The sequence below is a fragment of the Homo sapiens genome, chromosome 15 (genome assembly GCF_000001405.40).
Source record: "Homo sapiens chromosome 15, GRCh38.p14 Primary Assembly".
Taxonomy (NCBI): Eukaryota; Metazoa; Chordata; class Mammalia; order Primates; family Hominidae; genus Homo; species Homo sapiens.
The window spans coordinates 71380355-71406022 of record NC_000015.10 but is presented as its reverse complement, the minus strand read 5'-3'; the positions used below and the strand labels follow the sequence as shown (position 1 = coordinate 71406022).

Sequence of the window (25668 nt, the reverse complement as noted above, 5' to 3'; positions counted from 1 at the left end):
TTGAGGCCAGGAGTTCGAGACCAGCATGGGCAACATAGTGAGACCCTACCTCTTAATTGTATTTCTATTTACTATCAATGAGTACTCTGAAAATGAATTTGAAAAAGAATTCAATTTACAACAGCATTAAAAAGAATAAAAATACTTAAGAACAAGTTTAATTAAAGAAGATTTATTCATTGAAAACCTCAAAATATTGTTGAAATAAATTAAGGAAGATCTAAACAAATGGAAAGATATCACATTTTCTTGGATCTGAAGATTTAACATTGTTAAGATGGCAAACTCCCCCATATTGATCTACAGATTCAATACAAACTACCAAATGCCCTCTTATTTTTCTGAAGGTAATCCTAAAATTCACACAAAAATGCAAGGGACCAAAGAAAAACAGCTGGAGGATTCATATTTCCTGATTTTAAAACTTACTACGAATCAACAGTAAGTGTGGTATTTTCATAAGGCTAAACACATAGATCAATGGAATAGAACTTAAGAGTCTAGATATAAACCCTTACATTTATGGACAATTGATTTTTGACAGAGGTGCCAAGACAATTCATTAGGGAAAAAATACTGTTTGCAACAAATGACAGTGGGATAACTTTGCATATCTACCATGCTAGTGGGACTCTAAAATATATGGCAGTTCCTCAAAATGTTAAACATAGAGCTACCACATGACCCAACAATTCTGCTTTTAGGTTTATACTCACAAGAAATGAAAACCTACATTAATATAAAAATGTGTACATAACTATTCATAACAGCTTAGTTTGTTTGGGCTGCTATAACAAAACATCTTAGATTATGTCATTTATAAACAACAGAAAAGGCTGGGCATGGTGGCTCACGCCTGTAATTCCAGCACTTTGGGAGGCCAAGGTGGGTGGATTGCTTGAGGTCAGGAGTTTGAGACCATCCTAGCCAACATGGTGAAACCTCATCTCTACTAAAAATACAAAAATTAGCCAGGCATGGTTGCGCACATCTGTAATCCCAGCAACTCAGGAGGCTGAGGCAGGAGAACTGCTTGAACCCGGGAGGCAGAGGTTGTAGTGAGCTGAGATCATGCCACTGCACTCCAGCCTGGGTGACAGAGAGAGACTCTGTCAAAAAAGAAAAGCAAAGAAAAGAAAGAAAGAAAAGAAAGGAAAGAAAAGAAAGAAAAGAAAGAAAGAGAAGACAACAGAAATTTATTTCTAAGTTCCAGAGGCTGGGAAGTCCAACATCAAGGTGCCAAAAGATTCAGTGTCTGGTGAAGGCTCTGCCTGCTTCATGGCACCTTGTTGCTGTTATCCTCGCATATCAGAAGAGGCAAGGGAGCTTACTCAAGTCTCTTTCATGAGGGTACTAATCCCATTAATGAGATTGGAGCCCTCATGACTTAATTCCAAAAGGTCCTACCTCTTAATGATATCATATTGAGTATTAGGTTCCAGCATTTGAATTTTGGGGTGACACTAACATTCAGATATAGCAGCAGCATTATTCATAATAGCTAAAAAGGGGAAACTGAAATGTCTCTCAACTGGTGAATGGACAAACAAAATGTGGTATATCCATACAATGGAATATTATTTGACAACAGGAAGCATTAAAGTATGGATATATGCTATAACATTGATAAATCTTCAAAACATTATGCTAAGTAAAAGAAGCAAATCATATAAGGCCACATATTGCATAATTCCATTTACATGAAATACCCAGAATATTCAAATCCATGGAGAAAGAAAGTAAATTAGTGGTTGCCAGGGCCTGAAGAGAGGGGATAATGTGGAGTGACTGCTAATAGGTATCAGCTTCCTTCTTAGGATAAGGAAAATGTTTGCAATCATATCATGATAATAGTTATATAATTGTGAATATACTAAAACAACTAAGTTGGTGACTTTTATCATATATGAATTTTATTTCAATAAAGTTGTGATTTTACAAAAAGGAAAAGAAGTAATTAGTTTTCTAGATTCACAGGAAATCATCAAATAAATAAGACAATTTCTGTTTCCAGATTGCAGGAGTCTATCAAGTGCCCAGGAAAATGGTGTCAGGACTGGGATTTGATCTTTCCCTACTTACAATCAATAAGTTATCCTGTTACTGTTTCATGGATACAAACAGAAGATAGAAGATTTCTGAGTGAGAGATAAAAAAGAGCAAGCAGCATGAGCATTAGTATGTGTCAGTTTCCCTTGCCCCCAAGTCCCATAGGGGCAATGCATAAGGGCAGGGCCCATGGATACTGCATATACAGTGGTTTTGTATTGCAGCTGGGGAACACTGAAGTTGAGAGATCTACTGCTTTTATTGAAAGCAATAAGCAACCCTACTATTTGTCCCGAAAGGAGACTTATCTTACCCCTCAAGGTTGCTCACTGCAAATACAAGCCTGAGAAATAATCCAATTTTAGGGTGGTCAGGGCCTTGCATTCTTGGTATACTCCAAAGACTTGTAAGAGTACAAGAGACCCATGAAGAAGTGTCTCCCAATAAATAGATAAAAATAAACCCTCATGAAGGTTACATCACTTGAAATTTCAAGACACTGGGACAAAGAAAAGATAATACAAGCACCCTGAATAGAAACAAAATAGTATTGGATTTCTCAACAATAACTTTGATGGCTGAACAATAATTGAGTAATGCCTTATAATTTTTGAGGCATAGCCATTTCAAAATTAGAATTCTATATCTAGTCAAATTATCAATCCTTAGGAGAAAATAAAGCATTTTCAGAAATGCAATTCTCACGCAATTTACCTGTCATGCACCCTTATTGGAGGATGTAGACTACCACAATAAAGGAGTAAAACAAGAAAGTAGAACGTGTGGGATCCAGGAGATAGAATATCTAAGCCAAAAAAGAAGCAAAGAGAATGGCCAGGACTAGGAAGAAAGGAGATCCCAACAAGACAGCTGTACACTAGGAAAAGACTAGAGCAGGTCAGAGAGTTCCAGGAGAGAATTCTTCAAGACGAAATGCGTAGAATACCCAATACATTTTGAGATATTGAGATTTCAAGATATTGAGACATGAAGCTACTGAAAGATGATGTACACAATTTAGAAGAGCTTGAGTTGAATTAGCATGAAGTACATATAGAAAAGTAGGCAAACTAAAAACCAAAAGGTATTAATCAACAACAGGGAAAGTCAGATTTCAGGAAAGGAAATATAATCACGGCATATGTAGTGGATGCTTCACTATGGTGCCCAGATAACCTACCCCTACCTGCCAATCCAGTCAGTCACACCCCCCAGCAGTTAGGAGCTGGCTCATAGGTGTTTATTTCTGGAGCTTGCGCTGTGCCTGAGGGAGCTGCCTCCCTCAAGGTTAAGCCTCCTCTCCAGGGACAGCTCCATCTAACAACTGGTCCTCTGGTACAAAGGCCCACCCTGTCTCAATTGCTGGTAACTCTTCAGGGCTCTCCCTGCTCAGAGCTTCCTGTAAGACAAGCTGAGGCCTTGGTGTGACTGCATCACAGCCCAACTTCCCCTCTGTCCAATCCTGCCTCCCACATCCATCACAGGTGTTGTGCCCCAAGGAACACTGGGCACAAATCTCTGCTTTAGGATCAGTGCTCTGGAAATCTGACCTAAGGGAGTATATCACATGGCTCCAGTGTGAAGTGCATGTACATAGTCATCATACTGTAAGCAATGGTTATTAATCTAAGCTAAATTACAATAATTATATTGAGAGGGTGCAGGATGGGGAGTGTGTATCCATGGTGAGGTCTAGGGAGAGGATAATGAAAGAGGGCAAGACCTTCATTTTCTTTTTTTTTTTAATTATTATACTTTAACAGGTTTGTTACATATGTATACATGTGCCGTATTGGTGTGCTGCACCCATTAACTTGTCATTTAGATTAGGTATATCTCCTAAGGCTATCCCTCCCCCATCCCCCCACCCCACGACAGGCCCCAGTGTGTGATGTTCCCCTCCCTGTGTCCATGTGTTCTCATTGTTCAATTCCCACCTATGAGTGAGAACATGCGGTGTTTGATTTTCTGTCCTTGAGACAGTTTGCTCAGAATGATGGTTTCCAGCTTCATCCATGTCCCTGCAAAGGACATGAACTCATCCTTTTTTATGGCTGCATAGTATTCCATGGTGTATATGTGCCATATTTTCTTAATCCAGTCTATCATTGATGGACATTTGGGTTGGTTCCAAGTCTTTGCTATTGTGAATAGCACTGCAATAAGCATATGTGTGCATATGTCTTTATAGTAGCATGAATTATAATCCTTTGGGTATGTACCCAGTAATGGGATCGCTGGGTCAAATGGTATTTCTAGTTCTAGATCCTTGAGGAATCGCCACACTGTTTTCCACAATGATTGAACTAGTTTACACTCCCACCAACAGTGTAAAAGCGTTCCTATTTCTCCACATCCTCTCTAGCACCTGTTGTTTCATGAAGATCTTCATTTTCAACAGAACAAATGTGAAATGTAAAAACCCAGAATTAACAATATAAGTATTATTTACAGATAAGGTAAAAATCAAAAGAACAGCTAAAATGGTTGAGGAATAGGAAAGATTAGGGAAGAGGCAAACTTTTAGAACTATTTGACTCTATAAAACATGTACACACATAACGTGGAATAGAAAATAAAAACCAATTTTTAAAAAAATCTAGAAAATAACACTAACAATTCAGGTTCTTAGAAACAAAATCCTTCTGTGCAGTTATTAATAATGGGAGGTCCCTCCCATCTCTATTCAAAATCAACAAAAAACTACAAAACTTCTTGCTGTATTCTTAGGAATTTTGCTTAAGTGGAAGAAACTTGCAAAAGGGAATGCTGCCTTCTAGGGAAGCAAAATATTGCTAAAGTGTTGAGGTTTTGGATTTTAGGGAGCTTTGCTACTGCATAGGTTTGCATTTGCTCTCAGTCACCAAGAAGAGACTTTGGGAGGGATGGGAGGGGACAAAAAGTGGAAGGAAACGAGGTTCAAGCTTTTCCCACAATTGCACATTCTCCCACTGTCATTTCAGTGGAGAGAAAAACTCAGGTACGAAAAGAGGAGATTCTGTGCATAAACATGTGAAGCTGTTCCTGGAGAATAGGGAACATCTGTGCTTAGTTGCAGATCCATTCAAACTTCACAAGTTCACTCCAAGTTGAGCACTGAAGTCCTCACTTCCCAGGCTCAAGTTCTTTTTTTTTTTTTCTTTTTTTGTGGAATATACGATATCCCTGTTCAAGAATTGCAGCCTAGTAAACACAGCTCATAAAACTTGGAGGTGACAGGGTGCTTACCCAACAGATGCTGATGAGTGAAGTGTAAATGAATTAGAAACATGTGGATACAATGTCTTAAGTGTATATGCAGGGGTTAAATAAAATAAGGTGCTTGCTCAAAGCAAAGCAATGGACCAGTTTGCAGCATTTGGTCTAGTAACTAATCCAGGAGCAGTCAGAGCCACAGCAGCGCCAGACTTTTCCTCCACTGACTGCATTATCTACGTATTATTGCTCCTGTTTATGACAAAGTATCCGCCTGCCCTTGGATTCCAAATTCTGGACTAGACTCAGATGATTACTATTTAAAATGCTTTCCCCCAGACTGCATTTTCCAGGACAAAGTTATGGAAAATAAGATGAGGAGAATGATTCTCAGAGCTCAGGCTCTTCTCTGGAATTAGAAAACTGTTTTGAAAAAGTCAGAAGAGGGGTGAGACTAAGTCTTAGCTTTTCCTGTTCTGAAAAAGAAAAGGTTTTGGGCGCTTTCCATTATTAAAGCTTAAATGCAAAAACACACAGCTTATCAATTGCCTAATACCCCAAACCTTCCATCCCACACTTGGAATTTAAACTTTAGAAGTTAATACTGAACATATTTTAAAGGGCATTTCTAAAGGCAATGTCCTTTAGAAACTTTAGAAGTGCCCTACTGAATCTTACTTTACTGACTGTTTTAATAGGCTTGGGTATCCGGATTAGAAACAGTGAACAAAAATTTCTTTTTAAATTTTTATTTTGTTTTTCTTTCTGCAGCATTACTGAGGTGTCATCACACACAAAAACATCCCTTTTAAACCCTGAAAAAAAATCATTGGCTCAATTTTCTATCAATAGTCTTCTTAGCACTGCTCATACTTAAACACAGTTCTAATTTTCCACAACACTCTGATTCAGTGGCTTTCAAACTCTAACGTACATCAGAATTACCTGGGGGTCTTTTATTAAAACAAAGGCTGATGGACATGGACCCCACTCCCTGGAGTTTCTGATGCAGTAGGTCTAGTATGGAGCCCAAGAAGGTTCATTTCTAACAAGTTCCCAGGTGATGCCAGTGCTGCTGGTCCGGGAGCCACACCTGGAGAACCTCTGCTCTAACTGATGCTTCTGAACTAGGATAGAGAAAGGAGACCTCGCTTGTAACCAGCCTACTAGCTGACACCCTGGGAATGCACTGCCATAGCTAACATAAAAATTGATGTTTGGCTACTTAAATGAAAGGTTAGTTTTATACTTGAAAGCTAGACAGTGAAGACTGCAGCCATCAGGAGGCCTTGCAAGGAGGAAGTTTCCTTTTGATCTGTCAGGTATGGTCTATGCTGTGCAGAAAACAGAGAGGAGACAGGAACTTCTCTTCCCTTTTTAGCTGCATTTGGATTTAGCAGGCATTAGGATGTAACTGGCTTAGTCCTACCTTTTGTAAATTTTATATGTCTAGTGTTTTTTGAGCACCTACTATATGTTAGACCCTTTATATAAATTAATTCAGCCAATCCTTGCCTACGGAGGACAAGGAACCTAAGGCTCACACAAGCTTAGTGACTTGGTCACAACCACATGGTTGGTAAGTGGTAGAGCTCAGCTGTAAACAGGTCCACGTGATTGAAATGTCATTGTTACCACTGCACCCCCCACCTCACTACTCCACTCTGGAACCCAAAGATACTCCAAGCAGAGCTTCCCACTGCTGTGCTGTGCTGCCAATGGGCTACAGCTATGGCACCACTGGGGCATACCTCCCCAACAAAGTCACCTGCTGCAGGCCAGATCACCTACCTACTCCCATCCTGCTTGGATCTCATGGGGGCCTGGGGACTTTCTGCTTCCCCTAGGGCAGCCAGTTAAATAAAGGAAGCCTCCCTCCTATGGCCCAGAAAGTTGCCTCTGTTTCTGTTCTGGATTTCTAACACCATGCCCCTGTCTCCTACCCAATCCCCTGGCCTACTCCCATCAGCTGCATGAAACCTGTGCAGAACTGCATGGGTCTGCCCTGGTGCTGGACATGGGAGGTGGCTGTCAACCTCTGCTTCTGTTCCCTCTTTCTGCACCCCCTGGCTGCCAGCTTTCAATCTTCTGCTGGGTTGCCAATCACTAATGCACATTTCTAGAGCGCAACCCAATTTTCTCAAGGACAAGGATGCATCTCTGTCAATGGTAACAAACATTCTAGAAACCTCTTTCAATCCCTATTATTGGCTCTACCACCAAGCTATGTCATTTATTCATTGTGAGTTCTCCTCCTCCCTTTCACTCCTTCTGCCAAATCCCAGCTCAGGCCTTCATCAGCCTGTGTTAGAAGCTACACATTCTCCTAGCTGATCTCCCTGACTCCAAGTTTCCTGCCCTCTCCCCATTTGTCTGACTCAAGCTATATTATTCCCCAAACCTTCCTTCTTCAGGTCACCCTCCCTTCAAGAACCTGTTGTAGCTTTATACTCCTCCTTTCCCACCACTCCTAAAGAACCACCCTCCCACCATCACCTCTTCCCCAAATGCCCTGTGCTCCTTCTCCACCACCATGGTTTTGTACACTGTTCCCCAGGCTGGCGTGTCCCACATTCTATTCTCTGCCTAAATAAATTCTACCTGACCTTGCAGATGTGACTTCTGGAAGCTTCCTCTGTCATAGCCACTAATCCTACTAATAAGTAAGATATCCTACTAATCTTGCTATCTCTGCACTACATGGACCATCACAGCTGGAAAGACCCCACCCAATCCTTTCATACTACACAGTAGAAAACTGACACCCAGAAAAGTGAAAATACTTGTCTAGAGTCATACTGTTTGTCAATGACCTCACCACACTTAAAATATTGCACAGAGATTTCCTAAATTGATTATAATGACACCCAACCTGGCTAGAGTGCTTGCATTGTACCAAGTACTGTGTGAGACACTGCATATGTATTAGTTCATATCACTCTTAGAGAAGTAGACACTATTACTATCCCATTTTACAGATGAGAAACCTTTGGCTCAGAGAGGTTAAGTAACTTGCTAAAACCCACACTGCTAGAGAGTGGTAGAGCCACCAGGATTCAAATTCAGATTTGACTTAGAATGCTACCTTCAGTGCCCGATTAAACTCTTAATTCTTTCCTCTGAGTACATATTCTCTCCCTAAGCAAATGCTCACCCTCTCAAGGTCAAGGACAGTGCCTGGCATGGTGCCATGTATGAAGCAATGCTTGTTCATTCACCAGATGTTTATTGAGCACCTATTGTAGGCCAGGCACTGTGCAAGGATCTAGAAATAAGCAAATTACTAAGACAGAGTCCCTGCCCTTATGGGACAATCAACATTTATTCATTCATGGATTCGTTTACTCAGCAAATACATATTGAGGATCTTATTCCAGACAGTATAGTAAGTACCAAATAAATAATTTTAAAAAGAGACCAGGTCCTTGACCTCCTGCAACTACAATTTCATGGGGAAGACAGGTATGAATTAACTAGTCACACAAATAAATGTGAAATTATAGCTGTGAAAGAGGAGAAGGAGTTTATTATGTGAAGGGGAGGGGAGGAAGGAGGAACATTCCAGGCAGAGATATATCCAAAGGCCAGGACCACGAAGCACACAAGATGCTGGGAGACATTCCTCATCGCTGAAGTAGAAAGCACAAGCTGATACCTGGTGAGGCTGCAGAGGTAAACCAGCAGTCCAGGTCATGCAAGACCATTGTTCTCACAGAAAGAATGAGCAAAACTTGTCTAGAGTCCTGGGAAGTGCCACAGCTTGCATCCTGCACACTTAAAACCTGAACAGGGAACAGCAGTAGCTTCCTGTTCGTAGAAAGTTCCTAGACACATAGTTTCATGGGATTTGGCTAAGTGAACCTTGTCCAAGTTACCCAACCTTTTTCTGAAATGTTTCCTATTTCTCTCATGTCACATTAAATCCAAAGCAGGAAAAAACGACTGAAAACAAATGCCATTATGAAAAGGCACCATGCCGTTCAAAACTCTTCATGCTGTGTGACATGTTGTGTTACATCTTAAAATGTTATATTTAATAAAAAGTAAGTTGGAAAGGGGTTCTGCCAGTAGTAAGCCAGTCTGGCCAACTGTCAAGAAAGCGGCTTGACAGCTTCAGCAGAAGCGGGAGGTCATGGCCGGTGTTTTACAGCTTTGGAAAATGTCTAACTATCTGAGCGGATATATGTGTTAAAACACAGAATAGATACGTATCCTCCAGCAAGATGATGTGGCTGGGGTTTCTCCCGTCAGGAACTGAGGCTGTTGAGAGCTTTGAGAAGGAAGTCAGGGAAGGGAATTCTGGTACAAACTGCCACATAAAGTAAAGGTCTTGGAAACCAGAGAAAGTCAGAGGCAGAGGAAGTGGTAGCACCTCTGCAGGCAATACCCAGGGGAGGACGGCTTGACTTCCTATCCCCTGCTATTACCATCTCAGTAAAATAGGTATGTATACGTATAGGTATGTGTGTGTGTGTGTGCATATGTACGCATGTACATGTTTTATGTGTGTACATGCATATGTGTATATTATGTATGCATGTGTACATATGGTATAGATATGTGGGTGTATCAGAGTATGTATTTATAGGGCATATGTGTGTATGTATATACATGTGTCTACATGTATGTATACATGTATATGTAGATATGTGTGTGCACATCCACACGTTTCATTCAGAGTCTATTGGTACACGGCCAAAGCACTCAACAGCGATAAAAGCACACGGGTTCATCAGGTGGAAAAGGCTGGCACTTGAATGCGTGGGTCCACTCAGCGAATCCCGACGCCTGAACAACAGGCCATGTGCTCAACAAAGTCTGTGTTTGTGTGTGTGTGTGTGTGTGTGTGTGTGTGTGTGTGTGTCTCTCTTCAAAACACTGAGAAGCAGACTTGGGAGACACTGGAAAAGGAAGGTTGTAGCAGGAAGAGAGTTTTGATGGCTTCAGCAAAAGAATGTTCTGGTATGACATCATCCAGGAATTCAGGGGAAAACTCCAAGGAACCCCAGCTCGCACCATCTTTTTTTTGGGAGTCGGGGGACAGGGGCTTGTTCTGTGGCCCAAGCTGAAGTGCAGTGGCGTGATCTCAGTTCACTGGCAGCCTCTGCCTCCCGGGTTCAAGCGATTCTCCTGCCTCAGCCTCCTGAGTAGCTGGGATTATAGGCATGCACCATCATGCCCAGCTAATTTTGTATTTTTTGTAGAGGTGGGGTATCACTATGTTGCCCAGGCTGGTCTCGAACTCCTGAGTTCAAGCGATCTGCCCACCTTGGCCTCCCAAAGTGCTGAGATTACAGGTGTGAGCCACAGCACCCGGCCAGTCTCAACTTTTGACTGCAGAAACCAATGAGTGAGAATTGTCTGTGCCTCTGCCCAGTCCTTGTGAGCTGCCATGCTTAGCACAGGCTTTGCACCTGGGGGGCAGTGGAGCTCAGTGGGGACTTTTAGACTGGATGTCCTCTGTCACCTTCACGGCATGTCCCTTAGCAGCCTCCCAGAGGGCTCTTGGCTACTGAGCTCCCCGTTTTGGGGTTTAATAAAACCCACTAACAAGTGACTTTCAACATGTTTCATCATGTTACTCCTCTCCTCACAGCCATCCGGTCCTTCACCATCCTCAGAATATCCGCATCCGACTCCTAAGGCAGGTTTCAAGGACACCGCCCTCTTCAACTGGGCCTGTAACTACTCAATGGTTCTCCTCATTGTTACAGAAACACAGCAAAGGCATTCCCACCTCAGTGGCTCTGTTTCTTCTATTCACCTGTCCAGACTATCCTTGGTTCTCCAATCTGCCTTCACAAACCCACCTTCAGCATTGAGCTCCAGACCTACGACTCCTGGGAAGCCTTTCATACTGACATCTGTTCAGAAATATCTGTCTAGTGCTGAGTAGAAGCGGGTGGAGATGTCAGAGGGACTCACATTAATTTTATTAAATACACAAAAATGCAAGCAACTGTATAAACGCCAAATTGTAGCAAGTGCTGTGATGGCAAAGTCTCCCAGGGCATATACAATAGAGAAACGACTTAGTCCAGGGTATCAGGAAAGGTTTTACTGAGGAAGTGACTTCTGAACTGAACTGAAATCTGAAGGATGAGTAGGAGTTAGCTCTGTGAAGGAGGAGTAGGGAGGAAGACATCCCAAGCAGTAGCACCAGCCTATGCACATGCTCTGCGGCAGGAGGAGGAGGAGTGAAAAGGCCAATCAGGCACTGTGGCTCACGCCTGTAATCCCAGCACTTTGGGAGGCTGAGGCGGGTGGATCACCAAGTCAAGAGATCTAGACCATCCCGGCTAACATGGTGAAACACCGTCTCTACTAAAAATACAAAAATTAGCCGGCCGTGGTGGCACTTGCCTGTAGTCCCAGCTACTCAGGAGGCTGAGGCAGGAGAATCGCTTGAACCCAGGAGGTGGAGGTGGCAGTGAGCCAAGATTGCACGACTGCACTCCAGCCTGGGAAACACAGTAAAACTCCGTCTCAAAAAAAAAAAAAAAAAAAAAAAAGACAAATGTGTTTGGACAACAGAGTGTATGACAGCCCAGAGGGGAAGCCCACCTTTAAGTGTCTAGTTTGCACCATCTCTCTGGATTAGGGCTGCCAAATAAATACAGGATGCTCAGTTAAATATCTCAGATATGCAGCACACATTGAATGGGACATACTTCTACTAAATATGGTAAAAAAAAAAAAATATTGTGTATCTGATATTCACATTTAACTGGGCATCCTGTATTATTTACAAGCAACCGTACTCTGGATACAACCAAATAACACATTTTTCTATGTAACTCAATTATATTCTTAACTACAATGGGTCTTAATTTTTATCTGATTTCATATCATTCCATCTTAGTGATTGCCTCAATCGGAGAACCTTGGAGCAGGAAGACTCCTTATAGAAATCAGCTAGTCTGTCTGACATTCTCACTTTACGGATGAGAATAGGAGGCTCCGGAAGGCCCTGGAGCTGCTCAAGGTCACAGATAGAGACTCCTCTGGGGCTTCTTTCATGCCTCCCTGCTGTGCCTAGGACAGTGCTAAGCACACTAAAAACAGCTTAATCAATTGCTCAATTGAATTAACAATCTCATTTACATGCCTCTGTACAGAGGGGGATGAATAGATACAATCCCAGACACCCAGGAGCTTTCAAAACAAAATAAATAGGAAGCCAGACAGAGTAGGAGCCATCTGCTCACGCACAAACACAGGGACAGACACAAAGGACACGGGTAAGGGGCTGATTCCACCAACCAGACTCCAGCCTTTTCCCTGAGATTCTACAAGGGCCTGGGAACCAAGGCTCACCTCTCTCCCTGGTAGCGTGGTGAGTTTATTCCTGCATGAAGGCTCATTGGATTTACATGGCAAGTATGGAAAGTGATCATTTTTACCAAAAGATGGAAACTGTGACCCTGAAGAAACTTGCCAGCCTCATTCATTCATCCCATTCAGGCCGCAGTTATTTGCTGAGAGACTATTTCAGGCCCTCTCTGTAGGCAGAACACGTTCTGTCCAAATATGCACAACCACCGAGAGAAAAAGGCAGGGGCGGGCCCCTCCACCACTATTTACCAAACGAATGCAGCCCTCCACATTCAACTGGAACTGAACGCAGGGGGCATAATCCCCCTGAGTAAGCTTGGCTTTCATTCCTCCCCAGGACTTTAAAAGACGTCAATCCATCCCAATCACAATCAAATGCAAGCATTTCACTTCCCCAAAGACAAACAAGGATTTGAACAAATGAGAAACGGAGGTTCCCTTGTGGCTGCAAGAAAAGCAAATTCAGCAGTCCCGGCTCCCTCTCAAAGGAAGCGCTGGGAAGGATGTTCTTGTCGTGGCCACACAAAGTGTGGCATGAGCTCATCGTGCCAGAACCTAATTGAAACCTCAGGCTGAAACAGTATTTGGTGGTATTTGAAGGGAAAGGATGGGAAAAGACAAAAAGGAAGAACAAAGGGTGTGTACAGAAGACACATGAAAAGCAGCCCGCTTCTTGACCGTGGGACAATTTGGATGGTGGCCATTGAGTTAAATGAGGTGTAGCTTTCCTCTCAAGCTCTCTGAGACACAGAGATGCTCTGCAGAACTAGCTGCTGCCAGCATTATGGTTCCATAGCCAAGGCCCTCAGGGTTCATTAGAACCTTCAAAATGTAATTATATTCAAAGAAATGTGGCAGGAAGGATGATGGTTAGGCCTTTAGACAAACTACCTAGCACACTGGAGAATCTACTGAAAGGCATACAAGTAAAAGAGAAAGAGGATGATCTCTGCATAGTCCTTACCTGGGTTTGAATCTGAGTTCTTCTACTTAATAAGCTTGTGTCATTGGACAAAGTAAGTCTATGAACCTTGCTTTTCTTACCTGTCAAAATCGGTATGACAAGGCTTATCTTAAAGATTTGTCTGTGAATCAAATAAGAGAATGCTTGTAAAAGCACAGGCACTCAATAAAAGTTAACCTCTTCTCCCGTGAAACTAGATGCCTAGGGAAGTAGGGGAATGTCTGCATTTGGAAGCTTTATAAGAATTGCAGACATGGAAATATCGACATTTATCAATATGTGGCAACCCCTGGCAGAAAAGTTGGGGGTGGGCAGTAGTCCCCAGTGGTCTCAAGGCTTCATTTGCATATTCTCTTGCTCTTAAGTAGTAAATTGATCTTGGGCTGTCGTCAGAGCCCTTCTGAGCTGCCTGTTCTTTTAATTTTCTCTGAAAATTATCATAGAAACATGGCCAAGTTAAAATATCCCTGGAAGAAGAGTAGGGAGATGGGTTCCACGGCATTTTGGCTGCATTTCAGGACTCCAGCTGCTCAGTAGCCAAATCTAGAAATGCTGTTGAGGGTCTCATTATTCTATTTCCTTCCTCTGTATGGTTCTTGCAAACAGCCACCTGCAAGTTTCATTTTGTTATTGGATCTGGACAGAGACCTAGTTTTAATCTTCCTTCTTGTGAGAGTCTCTTGTGTTCTGAGAGGCCATCGTCTCCTGCAGTTCAATCATCAGCCACTGATAAACACAAGTCTTAATGAAGGACTCACTATTCTTTTCCTTCAGTGAAAGTTCCCACTAACAAGCATACTCAGATTCAATGGAAAGCGTGTGACTACAGACTCAGATACCTGGAATGAACCCTGGTCGCCCGCCCTTCCTCTGACACGGAACATAAATATAGCCAGGTGTGTGACACTGGCTTTTTCCCTAGACTCAGTTCCCTGACTTCACCTTAAATATGTAGCAAAAGCTTGATGCTCTACTTTCTCTTGGATATATTTAGCCAACCAGTCTGGGTGCAGTGGCTCACACCTATAATCTTAGTCCTTTGGGAAGCCCAGTGCAGGAGGATCGCTTGAGGCTTGCAGCTCAAGACCAGCCTGGCAACATAGCAAGACCCTGTCTCTACAAAAAGAATTTTAAAATTAGCCGGCATGAGTTGCCAGGCGCGGTGGCTCACGCCTGTAATCCCAGCACTTTGAGAGGCCGAGGCAGGCGGATCACGAGGTCAGGAGATCAAGACCATCCTGGCTAACACGGTGAAACCCCGTCTCTACTAAAAAATACAAAAAATTAGCTGGGCGTGGTGGCGGGAGCCTGTAGTCCCAGCTACTCTGGAGTCTGAGGCAGGAGAATGGTGTGAACCCGGGAGGCGGAGCTTGCAGTGAGCCGAGATTGTGCCACTGCACTCCAGCCTGGGCGACAGAGCGCGACATGGTCTCAGAAAAAAAAAAAAAAAAAATTAGCCGGCATGGTGGCTTATGCCTGTAGTCTCAGCTACTCGGGTGGCTGAGATGGGAGGATCCCTTGAGCATCAGGAGTTCAAGGGTGCAGTGAGCTATGATCGTGTCACTGCACTCCAGCCTGGGTGACTGAACAAGGCCCTCTCTGTACAAAAAAAAAAAAAAAAAAAAAAAAAGATTTAGCCAATCATAATTACCTAAAAATTGAGGAGCCCGGAAAAAGAGACAAATTTTCTTTGAAAGCCCAATATATTTGAGATGAAAGGATGTGATTTTTTTCTGACAGTAATCCCAGTTATTCCTACTCCCCTTCCAACTCTACTCTGTAGATCAGGATTCAAGGAAAATTGCTAGGTAACTCAATATGGTAAACTACTCCTCAGGGCAGAGCTCTGACAAATGCAGACACGAGTTTAAATCAAGGACATTCAAGGCCTGTTACTGTGGGTTCAGAGGGCTAGACGTCAAAGGAGGGCTATATGACAAAGTAGACATAGGGAGATACAAGATCCAAAATTGGATTTAGCCTCTGTAGACTTATGTAAAGGAAAGTCAAACTTGCCACAGCTTATCTATGCAATCCTGAATCTTCCAATACTTTTACCCTTTAAGTAAAAAAGGGTAAAGGAAGGAAATATTTCTTTCCATCTTGGTTTCCTATTTCCTTCCTGGTTTCCTTGTCCAGCTAAAGTCATATGGACGTTCGCCAAAAACAGATAATGCCATGAAACTCAGATAACATCAAAAGACAGAAAGTGTAATATGAGCTCTCTTAAGCCCTTGGCCTATATTTCACTGGGTCCATCCTGTCTGGTTTTTGATAGTAGGTATATATAAAGGCCAATGTGAGCATTTCCTGCTTTGTTTCTATTTATCTGAAAATTCAGGGATTGCCCAGAATATGTTGCTCATTCTGATTTATTATTTCACCCTCAAAAATGGAACCTGTAATCCCAGCACTTTGAGAGGCTGAGGTGGGCGGATCACAAAGTCAGGAGTTCAAGACCAGCCTGGCCAATATGGTGAAATGCTGTCTCTAATAAAAATACAAAAATTAGCTGGGTGTGGTGGTGGGCGCCTGTAGTCCCAGCTACAGGCTGAGGCAGAAGAATCACTTGAACCCAGGAGGTGGAGGTTGCAGTGAGCCAAGATCATGCCACTGCATTCCAGCCTGAGTGACAGAGCGAGACTCTGTGTCAAAAAAAAAAAAAAAAACAACCCAGAAAATAGCAAGTGTTGGCAAGGATGTGGATAAATTGGAACCCTTATATATACTGTTGGTGGGAATGTAAAATAGTATAGCCATGTGGAAAGCAGTATGACAGTTTCTCAAAAATTTAAAAATAGAATTACCACATAACAATTCCACTACTTTGTATATACCTCAAAGAACTGAAAACAAAGTCTTGAAGAGATATGAATACGCTCACATTCATAGGAACATCATTCACAGTAACCAAAAGGTAGAAGCAATCAACTGCCCATCAGTGGATGAGTGGGTAAACACAATGTGATATAAACATACAGTGGAATATCATTCAGCCTTAAAAAAAAAAAAAAGAGGAAATTCTGACACGTGCTACAACATGGATGAACCTTGAGGTGATTGTGCTAAGTGAAATAAGCCAGTCACACAATGACAAATAACATATGATTCTGCTGCTCGGAGGTACCTAGAGTAGTCAAATTCAGAGACAGAAAGTAGAATAATAGTTGCCAGGGGCTGAAGGGAAAGGGAAATGGGGAGTTTCTGTGTAATGGGTATGGAGTTTTCATTTTGGAAGATGAAAAGAATGCTAGAGATTTGTTGCACAACAATGTGAATGTACTTAACACTACTGTACACTTAAAAATGGTTAAGATGGTGGATTAATCCATTTTCACGCTGCTGATAAAGACTGGGTAATTTATAAAGACAAAGAGGTTTAATGGACTCAGTTCCATGCAGCTGGGGAGGCCTTGCAATCATGGCGGAAGGTGAAAGGCAAGTCTTACATGGCAGCAGGCAAGAGAGAGAATGAGAACCAAGCAAAAGGGGTTTCCCCTTATAAAACCATCAAATCTCATGAGACTTATTCACTACCATGAGAACAGTATGGGGGAACCACCCCCATGACTCAATTATCTCCCACCGGGTCACCTCCTACAACACATGGGAATTATGGGAGCTACAATTCAAGATGAGATTTGGGTGGCGACACAGCCAAACCATATTGGATGGTAAGTTTTATGTTTTTTATATATATATATTTTATCATATTATCACAATTTTTTTAAAAAAGGACTCAATATGCCTGAGTCCATACAAACATCCAAAGCCTGCTCCCTCCCTACACACACACACACACACACACACACACACTCTCTCCAAAGAATCAAATCAATACTCGAATGAAACAAGTAAGTAAAATTGGTGAGCAAATTAGAGTAGCTGAGATGATCTCCTACCAGACCACTCTGTCCTATAGGGACTGGCTTTCTTGTTTTTATTTTTCCCCCCTTCATCTAAAGCTGGGCATACAGGAAGAGCTGAACAACAGAAGACCTTTCAGTAAGGAACACATTCTGGTAGATGGAAAAATCAGCCGTCCTTTGGAAATGAAGATGACATTACTGACCCAAAACCAATAAAGCCTGCATGAAAGTTGCTGTGTTCCCCATTACTAAGGATAAATTTCCATCACTTCACCCACATTCTCCTACTATAAAGTACCTGGCACCTAGTGGGTACTCCATATAGGTTTGGTGAGCAAATTAATGAATCACCTACAGGCTAAAGGGAACAAACCAAGCAGCTATGCAGCAGAAATTTAAGAAGCCCTCAAGAGTGTTAAAAACGCAAACTGATTGCCTCTTTCTGGATGAATTCAAGGGATGATTTATGTGAAAGAAGGTAAAGTAAGTTCTTGTTAAAGTCTCAGGTTTTACAGAGAAAGTGTGATATCCTGAGTGTAGTTTTGATTTGTCTTCTGTTTATGTGTGTAAACCACAAAAGCAGTTAACTGTTGATGGCCAAATAACAAATGCCTCTGTCTCTCCCAGGAGAGATTAAATAGCTCTGGGTTGAGGGGGGAAAATAAGATCAAAAGAAGATCCAGACATCCCTGGCTGGCAGGCAGCAAGAGGTCCCCTGGCCAAGGGAGGGTAACCTTTGCTTGAACCTAGAGCAGTTTGGAAGAGGGGTTCTGGGCTGAGAAAAAAATCTTTAAGATGCTTTTCCTAAGCTGTGCTGACCAGGATTCTGAGCTACATGCCTGAGATTCCCTGACCAGACCATAATATTTCCTTCTAAGCCTTTGTTGTATATACTTACAATCAACAAGAAAGATTTCTCTCTTTTTTAAGGACAGCACATAAAGCAAGTTCGGGATGAAAGTTGTATCTTCATATGACTGGTACAGCTTTTGGGAAAGTAAGACAGATATCAGGCAACATAATTCATACCCACTGACCCATTCATCCTCCACCTGGAATTTATTCTAAGACTAAAATCTAAAACAGCATATTTCCTTTTTTCCTGAAAATGCATTTGAATGAATTTTGAGTTATTTTGTTTATACATATTAGGAAAAAGACTCTAGGGAAGGAAAACAAATTATAAAAAAATGATACCCTTTAAATCTCAAGGCACGTTGTCTGTCTACAGTGAAACCCCGTGTAAGCCCCGATTCTTGGGTACCATTTGGTTTGGAGAGAATCACCAAATCACAGCATCCTGAGCAGATAATGTAAATGTTTCCCTAACACCTGAGTTCACCCAGACAACAATGTCAGTCAAAAAGATCCCTTTCTATAGTCTCTCAGCCTGTTTTTTTTTTTAACGTTAATGAGTTATGCCTAGCAGGTAGTTTCCAGCGCACAGCTATTCATTCTTCAAACGTGATAAAAGCATCCGGCCCAAGTCCTAAGAAGCCTAAAACAAAACACAAGCAAACTGAAAACAACTTGACCCTATGCCCATAGGCTGCAAAGGAATCTCTAGAGACCAGAAAAGAAAAAGACAGCACAAACAAAAACAGAAAACCCGGAAACCTTGCCTCCTAAAGTAGCAAGCAGTGTAATGCAAATACATGTTGATTACGAGGCGAACAGAATCCTTTTCTGTTCTGTTTCCAAACACAAAGCTTAGAAAACAAATGATTTTTGCCAAATTCTTCTAAAACAAGGAAACAACTGGCGAATGCTTTCATCATTTAAAAAGCTAACCCTCTGAATTAGGAACTCAGGTAACACTTAAAGTTTCTTTTAAAAAGTATTATTTATTTAAAGCTCAGGAGTCTACCTATTTTAGGGGTCTTCTCTTTGTCTCACTCCTAAGAAACAAACCATCATGTTTTAGAAAGCGAAGCTGAGTCCACCTGTCAAACTTCTCTTTCACGTGGTAACATCTCCATCTGCTGGAAATTTAAATGTCTGCATTAAAGGCAGATAATGTTAGCTTTATTTTTCTATAAATTTATGTCTAATTCACATTTCCATTTTCTCTTACATGTGTCAGTATTTTATTGAAAATATATGCCCCTTTTCCCTTTTCTCTGAGGTTCCCAGTGGTCTCTATTGTCATGGTATTTGCAGCACCTCCCCTAACCCCCTCTTGGCCTTCTCCACATGCTTTGGGCAGGTCCTCATCAGTCTTTCTTTATAATTGTACATCCTTATGTTAGTCCTGGAACCCTTGGCTGAATCTGGAAATTGCTTACCTGTCCTCCTTGGGTAGCATTCCTTTGAACTATTATCTTAGCTGCTCACAGCATGAGCTTCTTTATTTGGCTGGCAAACCATTAAGTAGCTGCCTGTTTTGTCTTTGATTTTTAATGGAAGTCAACCCATTAACATTTGGGCAGCAGAAACAAGGCTGTGGTTGTCACTCTCTGATTTCTGGTGTTGCTTTTCTGTACGTTGGCATTTATTCAATCTTCACTAAGCACCTACTCAGTAAACAGTCCCAGGAAATACTGGTGCCTATGAGACAGAGAATATGATTTCTTCTCTGACATTTCTGTTGGTCCGCTAGCTACTTAAGCATCACTTTCCTCATTTTTCCTTAGAGTTCTGCCTCCATTCTGCCATTGCTTTCTTTAAACTAACACACAGTTCTACTGATAAATTGTTGTTTCCTGGTGTTAAACTCACAGCATGAACATCAGCAGCTTTCCGGACCCCCATCTCTTGATCTGTACAGTAAGGAGGTTGGGATGATCTCTTAAGTCCATCCTATTTATGAAGGTGTTAAATTAAACGAAACGTGATTTGAGAAAGCCTCCATATTTGCATACTCAAGCCCTTATGTAACCAAAACCTAACTCTGTAAACAAACCATAAATCTAATTTAGGAATTTGGCTTTGTAACAGATAACTGAGTCTCAGCCAATCAGGGCAGCCAAGTTTCAGTCAATCACAGGTGGCCACGTATTCAAACCAGGTTCAAATTTATTCGCTTTAGCGAACTCCAAGCTCTAAGTGAGCCAGCTGTTTCTATAAGTCACTTCTGTTTTCTGTACAATCCTTCCCTTTTTGTGTCCATAAGTGTCCAGTCATGTGGCAGCCCCAAAGTCTTTCTGAACCTGTTCTGCTTCTGAGGGCTACCCGATTCACAAACTGTTCTTTGCTCTATTAAACTCTTATTTGTCTAAGGTTTTTCTTTTAAGAGATTAGTGTCACAAGTGGGACTCAAAGTCAGACTCCAATGACCCCCAGGAACACCAGGCAACCAGGTGAGGTATCCATGGAGCCCAAAGTGCTCACTGCTCTCGTTTGTAACTGGAGGTCATGGGTTAGTTTTTCTCTTGAGTTCTGAACTCCACAGCGTTGTGTCTAGAGCTCTCCTAGTTTATATGAGCAATTTTTTTTTAACTGAATTGGGTTCGGAAGTCACGAAAGCAACTGGACTGGATCCAGGATTGGATTGGATCCAATAATTAACTGGACTGGATCCAGCTATAGGCCTCAGATGTCTGACAGAATCAAAGGGAAACTGGCAGTAAATGGCAATTACTGAAGGGGGTGCAAACTCCAGCTTTCAGAAATTTGCAGGGATTTTGTGTCCTATCCTCATCATTTCTTTTTCTTGCATGTTTAGGTAAAGAAAAATCATTGGCTAAGCTGGTTAAGGGGATCTGAGAGCCAAGGCCAACATTCAACATAAAAATGGGATCCTTAACTTTGGAAGAATTGAGTACTCCACTTTCTTGTCATGTCTACCTTTACATGTATTAGTATTAGGCCCTGAAAGGCAAAGTCTTACTGAAGATAATTTAAAATTACAATGCCGTTATGTGGATGGTTCCAAATGAACGGCACTGCACTTTAAGAAGTGCATTTTAAAATGTGGGCTCCAGAACTAGGCTCACCCGGGAAGCCTATTGATGTGCAGATGCTTCTAAGAAGGTTTCAAAAATTTTATTGCCTCTTTTAAAAGACTATTTGCAAAAGGCAAATAAAAAACTGAAGCAACTAATTGAAAGAAAAATTGAATCTGCTAACCTTTTGGCTTAGCTACTTACCTCATCCAGAAGGCAAAAAGCAAGCTGGATAAAGTGTTTATAAAGGTATACCTTCAGATAAAGGAAGGCTTCATCTTTTTCAGTGCTATCCATGCTGAATCCAGGCACACAAAATAGTTTCATGTTTTTGTTTTTTTTTTGAGACGGAGTCTTGCTCTGTACCGTTGCCCAGGCTGGAGTGCAGTGGCGCACTCTCGGCTCACTGCAAGTTCCGCCTCCGGGGTTCACGCCATTCTCCTGCCTCAGCCTCCTGAGTAGCTGGGACTACAGGCACCCGCCACCACGCCCAGCTAATTTTTGTATTTTTAGTAGAGACGGGGTTTCACCTTGTTAGTCAGGATGGTCTCGATCTCCTGACATCGTGATCCGCCCGCCTCGGCCTCCCAAAGTGCTGGGATTACAGGCGTGAGCCACCGCGCCCGGCCACAAAATAGTTTCTTTGCCCTATTTGTTAATGAGCTCTGCCCTGAATTAGTAATTTTAGCTAAGAAACAGAAGCTAAGTTGCAAAGAGACCACCTATTGAACTAAATTGGTCTCTCAAATACAGTCATTCCTCAATATCCACAGGGGATTAGTTCAGGACTTCCTGCAGATGTAAAATCTGCAGATGATCAAGTCTCCTATGTAAAACGGCGTATTATATAAACTACGTACATCCTCTTGTATACTTGAAATCATTTCTACATTACTTATAATACCTAACACAATGTGAATGTTATGTAAATGATTGTTATCCTGTATTTTTATTTGTATGACTCTTTACGATTGTATTGTTTTTTTCTTCCTGAATGTTTTCGATCCATGGTTGGTGGAATCCATGGATGCAGAAGCAGATACAGAGGGCCGACTATACACTTTTCTGGCATTTAGCTGGCTATTTTGAAATCCTTTTGTAAAAGAAATTTACATCAATTAAAAAAAATCCACATTCGTAAAGTTGTCAGCCTCTCTGTACCAGGAACAGAGGAAGGATCCAGTCATTTGAAACTCTCAAAATGGAAAAGACACTGGTTTAAATTTATATCGCAATATATCACAATATCACAGTGGCCATTTTGCCTTAAGTAGGCCTTAAAGTATGACCTTCTTTCTTGATTTGGGCAAATGATGGTATTCAAGCCTTAAGTCTCAGTTCCGTGCCTTTGAGATATAAATGTTCTACCTAGCTTTGCTTAAGCCATCACTTTGGAAATGCAAATTTAGGAAAAAAATCATTAGATGCTTATGATAAAAGGGGATAAGTCAAACAGACTTCTGAGGTTAAAACAAAGGCCAAATCTACCAAAGGCTGGACAGACGAGGGGGACCCCTGCTGGTCCCCCAAAATTACAGGGTCCAAAACCAGTTTCCTCTATTTACAGCAATTTGGAGAAATTCAAAAAGTAGGAAGACAGAAATTATAATAAGCAAACTAGAAATCACTTAGGGCAATAATCTAACAGGTTAATTTAAAAAAACAATGATGGGGGGAAGGGTCCCTTGACTCAACCCCAACCCCTTGTTAGGATGGGATAAACTTGTTTCAAAATTCATTGTTTCAAAGTTATTTTCCAGTAACTTAATGTCTTAAAGTCATGTTACATTAAGTAATAGATACTTATTAAATGTCTAAGTAAGTTAAAATACTGGAACATTAATTGCTGGACATAGGTTTAGAGTATATATACTTCTGCATTTTTTAATACAGTATAGAGAAGCTAAATATATTTGGGTCTATTAGGAAACATAAAAAATTGTGTTATGAGAAAATACATTTCTAAAAATTATAAAATGGTATCATCTCCCTTCAAAATTATTTATTCCATGAGAAATTAAAGTTAATAGTTTAAAATTCTAATAAATATAAGGTAATTAAAACTAGATATAATAAGGGAAACAGTAAAAGTAAGATGTGTTTTTGGTGAGGAAAGTTATAAGAAAGGCATGAGGATGTGTTATATTGTTAAGGAAGAGTAGTCTTATCTAGTTTGGAGGTGGTTTCAGAAGGAATGAAGGAAGAAAAGAATGACTGGATAAAACTAAATGGATAAGATGTAGAAGGTTTGTGGAAGATGCGTATTATAAAAGGAATTTTATATGTGATCAAGTTGGCTAAAATTAGAAGGAAATTGTTTTTCTAAAATTGAGTGCTAATAGCAAAAGTACACTGATGCAAAACTAGCATTTGGTCCTCTCTGTTAAAAGAAGAACGTTTTCTTGGAGTATTGGCTTCTGCTCTTAATAGGAAATCGTGAAAGGTTTTTCTTTACCTTTTAGGCATTTGGCCCAGAAAATAAAAATTCTGTGTTTTACCGAAACACTTTCCTGTCCTTCATGTTGTCTTTCTTAGGTCTTTGATTACTAAAGAAAACTGGGTCTTCTCTATTAAAAAGTTAAGATTTTTCCTACAACTATGTAAACTTCTGTATTTGTCCTTAAAATACCTTATTGTCATCTTGATTAAATACATAACCAAGGTCATATTTAAGTGTTTTAAACTTTTTGACATTTTTGACAAACTTCCCCAAATCAAATCTAAATTAATTCTTTTTGATCTTGAATTAACTTTGTGATTTCTCAGTAGGGCCCCTGGAAAATCGCAAAGGATGTATCTCTCACCTTTTAAAAAAAGAGATATTAAACTGAGTAGACTTACTTGATATGTTAACTATATGGGAAGCATTGTCAAATAAGAAATAATGTTTAACATTTAAATTACTTTTATGGATATGATATTAAGATGACTGTTCCAAAAATTGTGTGGGATTACTAAAAATCTAATACGGCAGCAGTCATAATTTCAGTTATGTTAAAATGTTCTATGCTACAGAAATAACCAAATTTTCTTTTCAATTGCTGATTATAATGAATTCTCATTAGATTTTTAACTGGACATGTTAAGTCTTTTGTCATCCACAGTCAACTATCGATAATCCAAAAGTGCTTTGTGTCCAAGGAGGTTCATGGAAAGGATGGAAAGGACTCTGACAAGTACAGGTTTCTGACAACCTTAAGATAATTCCAATGGAAGGGTAATAATTCCCAGAATGCTTAGGAAGAAACTGACTGTCTTTATAAAACTGCTAGCCCAACATCAAGCCAGAGCAAAACTTAATTAAATATTAACACCAAGGAAATGCTTTGGCAGGTTTTTATATTAAGTCAGCCAATACTAAAATTGTTAAGATATGCAATTTGAATGAACTTCATAAGATTGATCCAAATTAAATTACCTATGGCAATCTATTTAATAAATGGTGCTAAGTACCTGAATTGGAAAACAAAATTGATATTTAAAAGGATGCAAAGTCAGTGTAAAGTGTGGACTCATGGAGGCCCTGGGGCCCTTCCTGAGTCCTTAAAGTTTCCCTTATTACAAGTTCTGCACTCTGTAACTCATCAAGCAGTAGGCAAAATGATATAAATAATGAAAAATATTAGTGTGGTGACTATTCTAAGCTTGCTAAAATGGTCTACAACCAATGTTTGGCTTGTCAAGCCCATAATCCTAGGAAGACAATCAAAACTTTAGGTGGTGCATTTCCACTACCTGATGGGCCATTTGAACATTTACAGAGGGACGACATTAAATTGCCACCCTCAATGGGACGGCAATAAACATATTATGTGTTCCTTTCCCATAAGAGAAAGGGAAAGGAATGCATAATATAATATGCTTACGGAAGCAGCTAACAGTTGGTTTGGAGGCATCCTAAGTGGTGGGTGGCAAGCTTGGCTTTTCAAAGTTTCCAATCTGTGTTTCTTCTACTGTGTCTCCAGATTGCTATGACATGTGTTGCCAGGCTCACTACCAAGATGGATACCTCTTTGAGTCAGACTATTTTGCAACAAGATAGGGTCCCTTGATTGCCATCAAAACCAAAACAGGGGCTATGATCAGTTAGACTCAGCTATTATTGAACTGCCTCAAGTTCCAGAAGTTTGGTTTGTTTGATTTAGATTGGTCTGTATGGGCTCTTGTTAAGGAGTGTACTTTGGTCTTTTGATACTATTCTCTTGATAGTGATCACAGTCGTCTCCTGGGTGTGTTGTACCCTCTCAAGTCTTAAATATTTGTATGCAGCCATTCATTGAGCATCAAACGGTTTCATTTTGACTAGATTAGCAAGAATATAAAAAATTATTCAACTGATGACATGACATTGTGACTTGTGAATTCCATACTG

General features: G+C 40.9%; 1 protein-coding gene across 7 annotated transcripts in view, besides 4 other annotated features; it reads right to left on the bottom strand.

Moving 5' to 3' along the window:
- The window catches only part of THSD4 (thrombospondin type 1 domain containing 4), a 686490-nt gene that overhangs the window by 377361 nt on the left and 283461 nt on the right, over positions 1–25668 (bottom strand). The window lies entirely within an intron of this gene.
- Positions 12535–13035: an enhancer, noted in NCBI's record as "H3K4me1 hESC enhancer chr15:71685327-71685827 (GRCh37/hg19 assembly coordinates)". NCBI's record gives its function as "activates a minimal SCP1, AML or CMV promoter by ChIP-STARR-seq in primed H9 embryonic stem cells {active_cell/tissue: H9 hESC(primed)}" and the evidence as "EXISTENCE:reporter gene assay evidence [ECO:0000049][PMID:30033119]".
- Positions 13036–13536: an enhancer, noted in NCBI's record as "H3K4me1 hESC enhancer chr15:71684826-71685326 (GRCh37/hg19 assembly coordinates)". NCBI's record gives its function as "activates a minimal SCP1, AML or CMV promoter by ChIP-STARR-seq in primed H9 embryonic stem cells {active_cell/tissue: H9 hESC(primed)}" and the evidence as "EXISTENCE:reporter gene assay evidence [ECO:0000049][PMID:30033119]".
- Positions 18544–19437: an enhancer, noted in NCBI's record as "OCT4-NANOG-H3K4me1 hESC enhancer chr15:71678925-71679818 (GRCh37/hg19 assembly coordinates)". NCBI's record gives its function as "activates a minimal SCP1, AML or CMV promoter by ChIP-STARR-seq in naive H9 embryonic stem cells {active_cell/tissue: H9 hESC(naive)}" and the evidence as "EXISTENCE:reporter gene assay evidence [ECO:0000049][PMID:30033119]".
- Positions 19501–20035: an enhancer, noted in NCBI's record as "OCT4-NANOG hESC enhancer chr15:71678327-71678861 (GRCh37/hg19 assembly coordinates)". NCBI's record gives its function as "activates a minimal SCP1, AML or CMV promoter by ChIP-STARR-seq in naive H9 embryonic stem cells {active_cell/tissue: H9 hESC(naive)}" and the evidence as "EXISTENCE:reporter gene assay evidence [ECO:0000049][PMID:30033119]".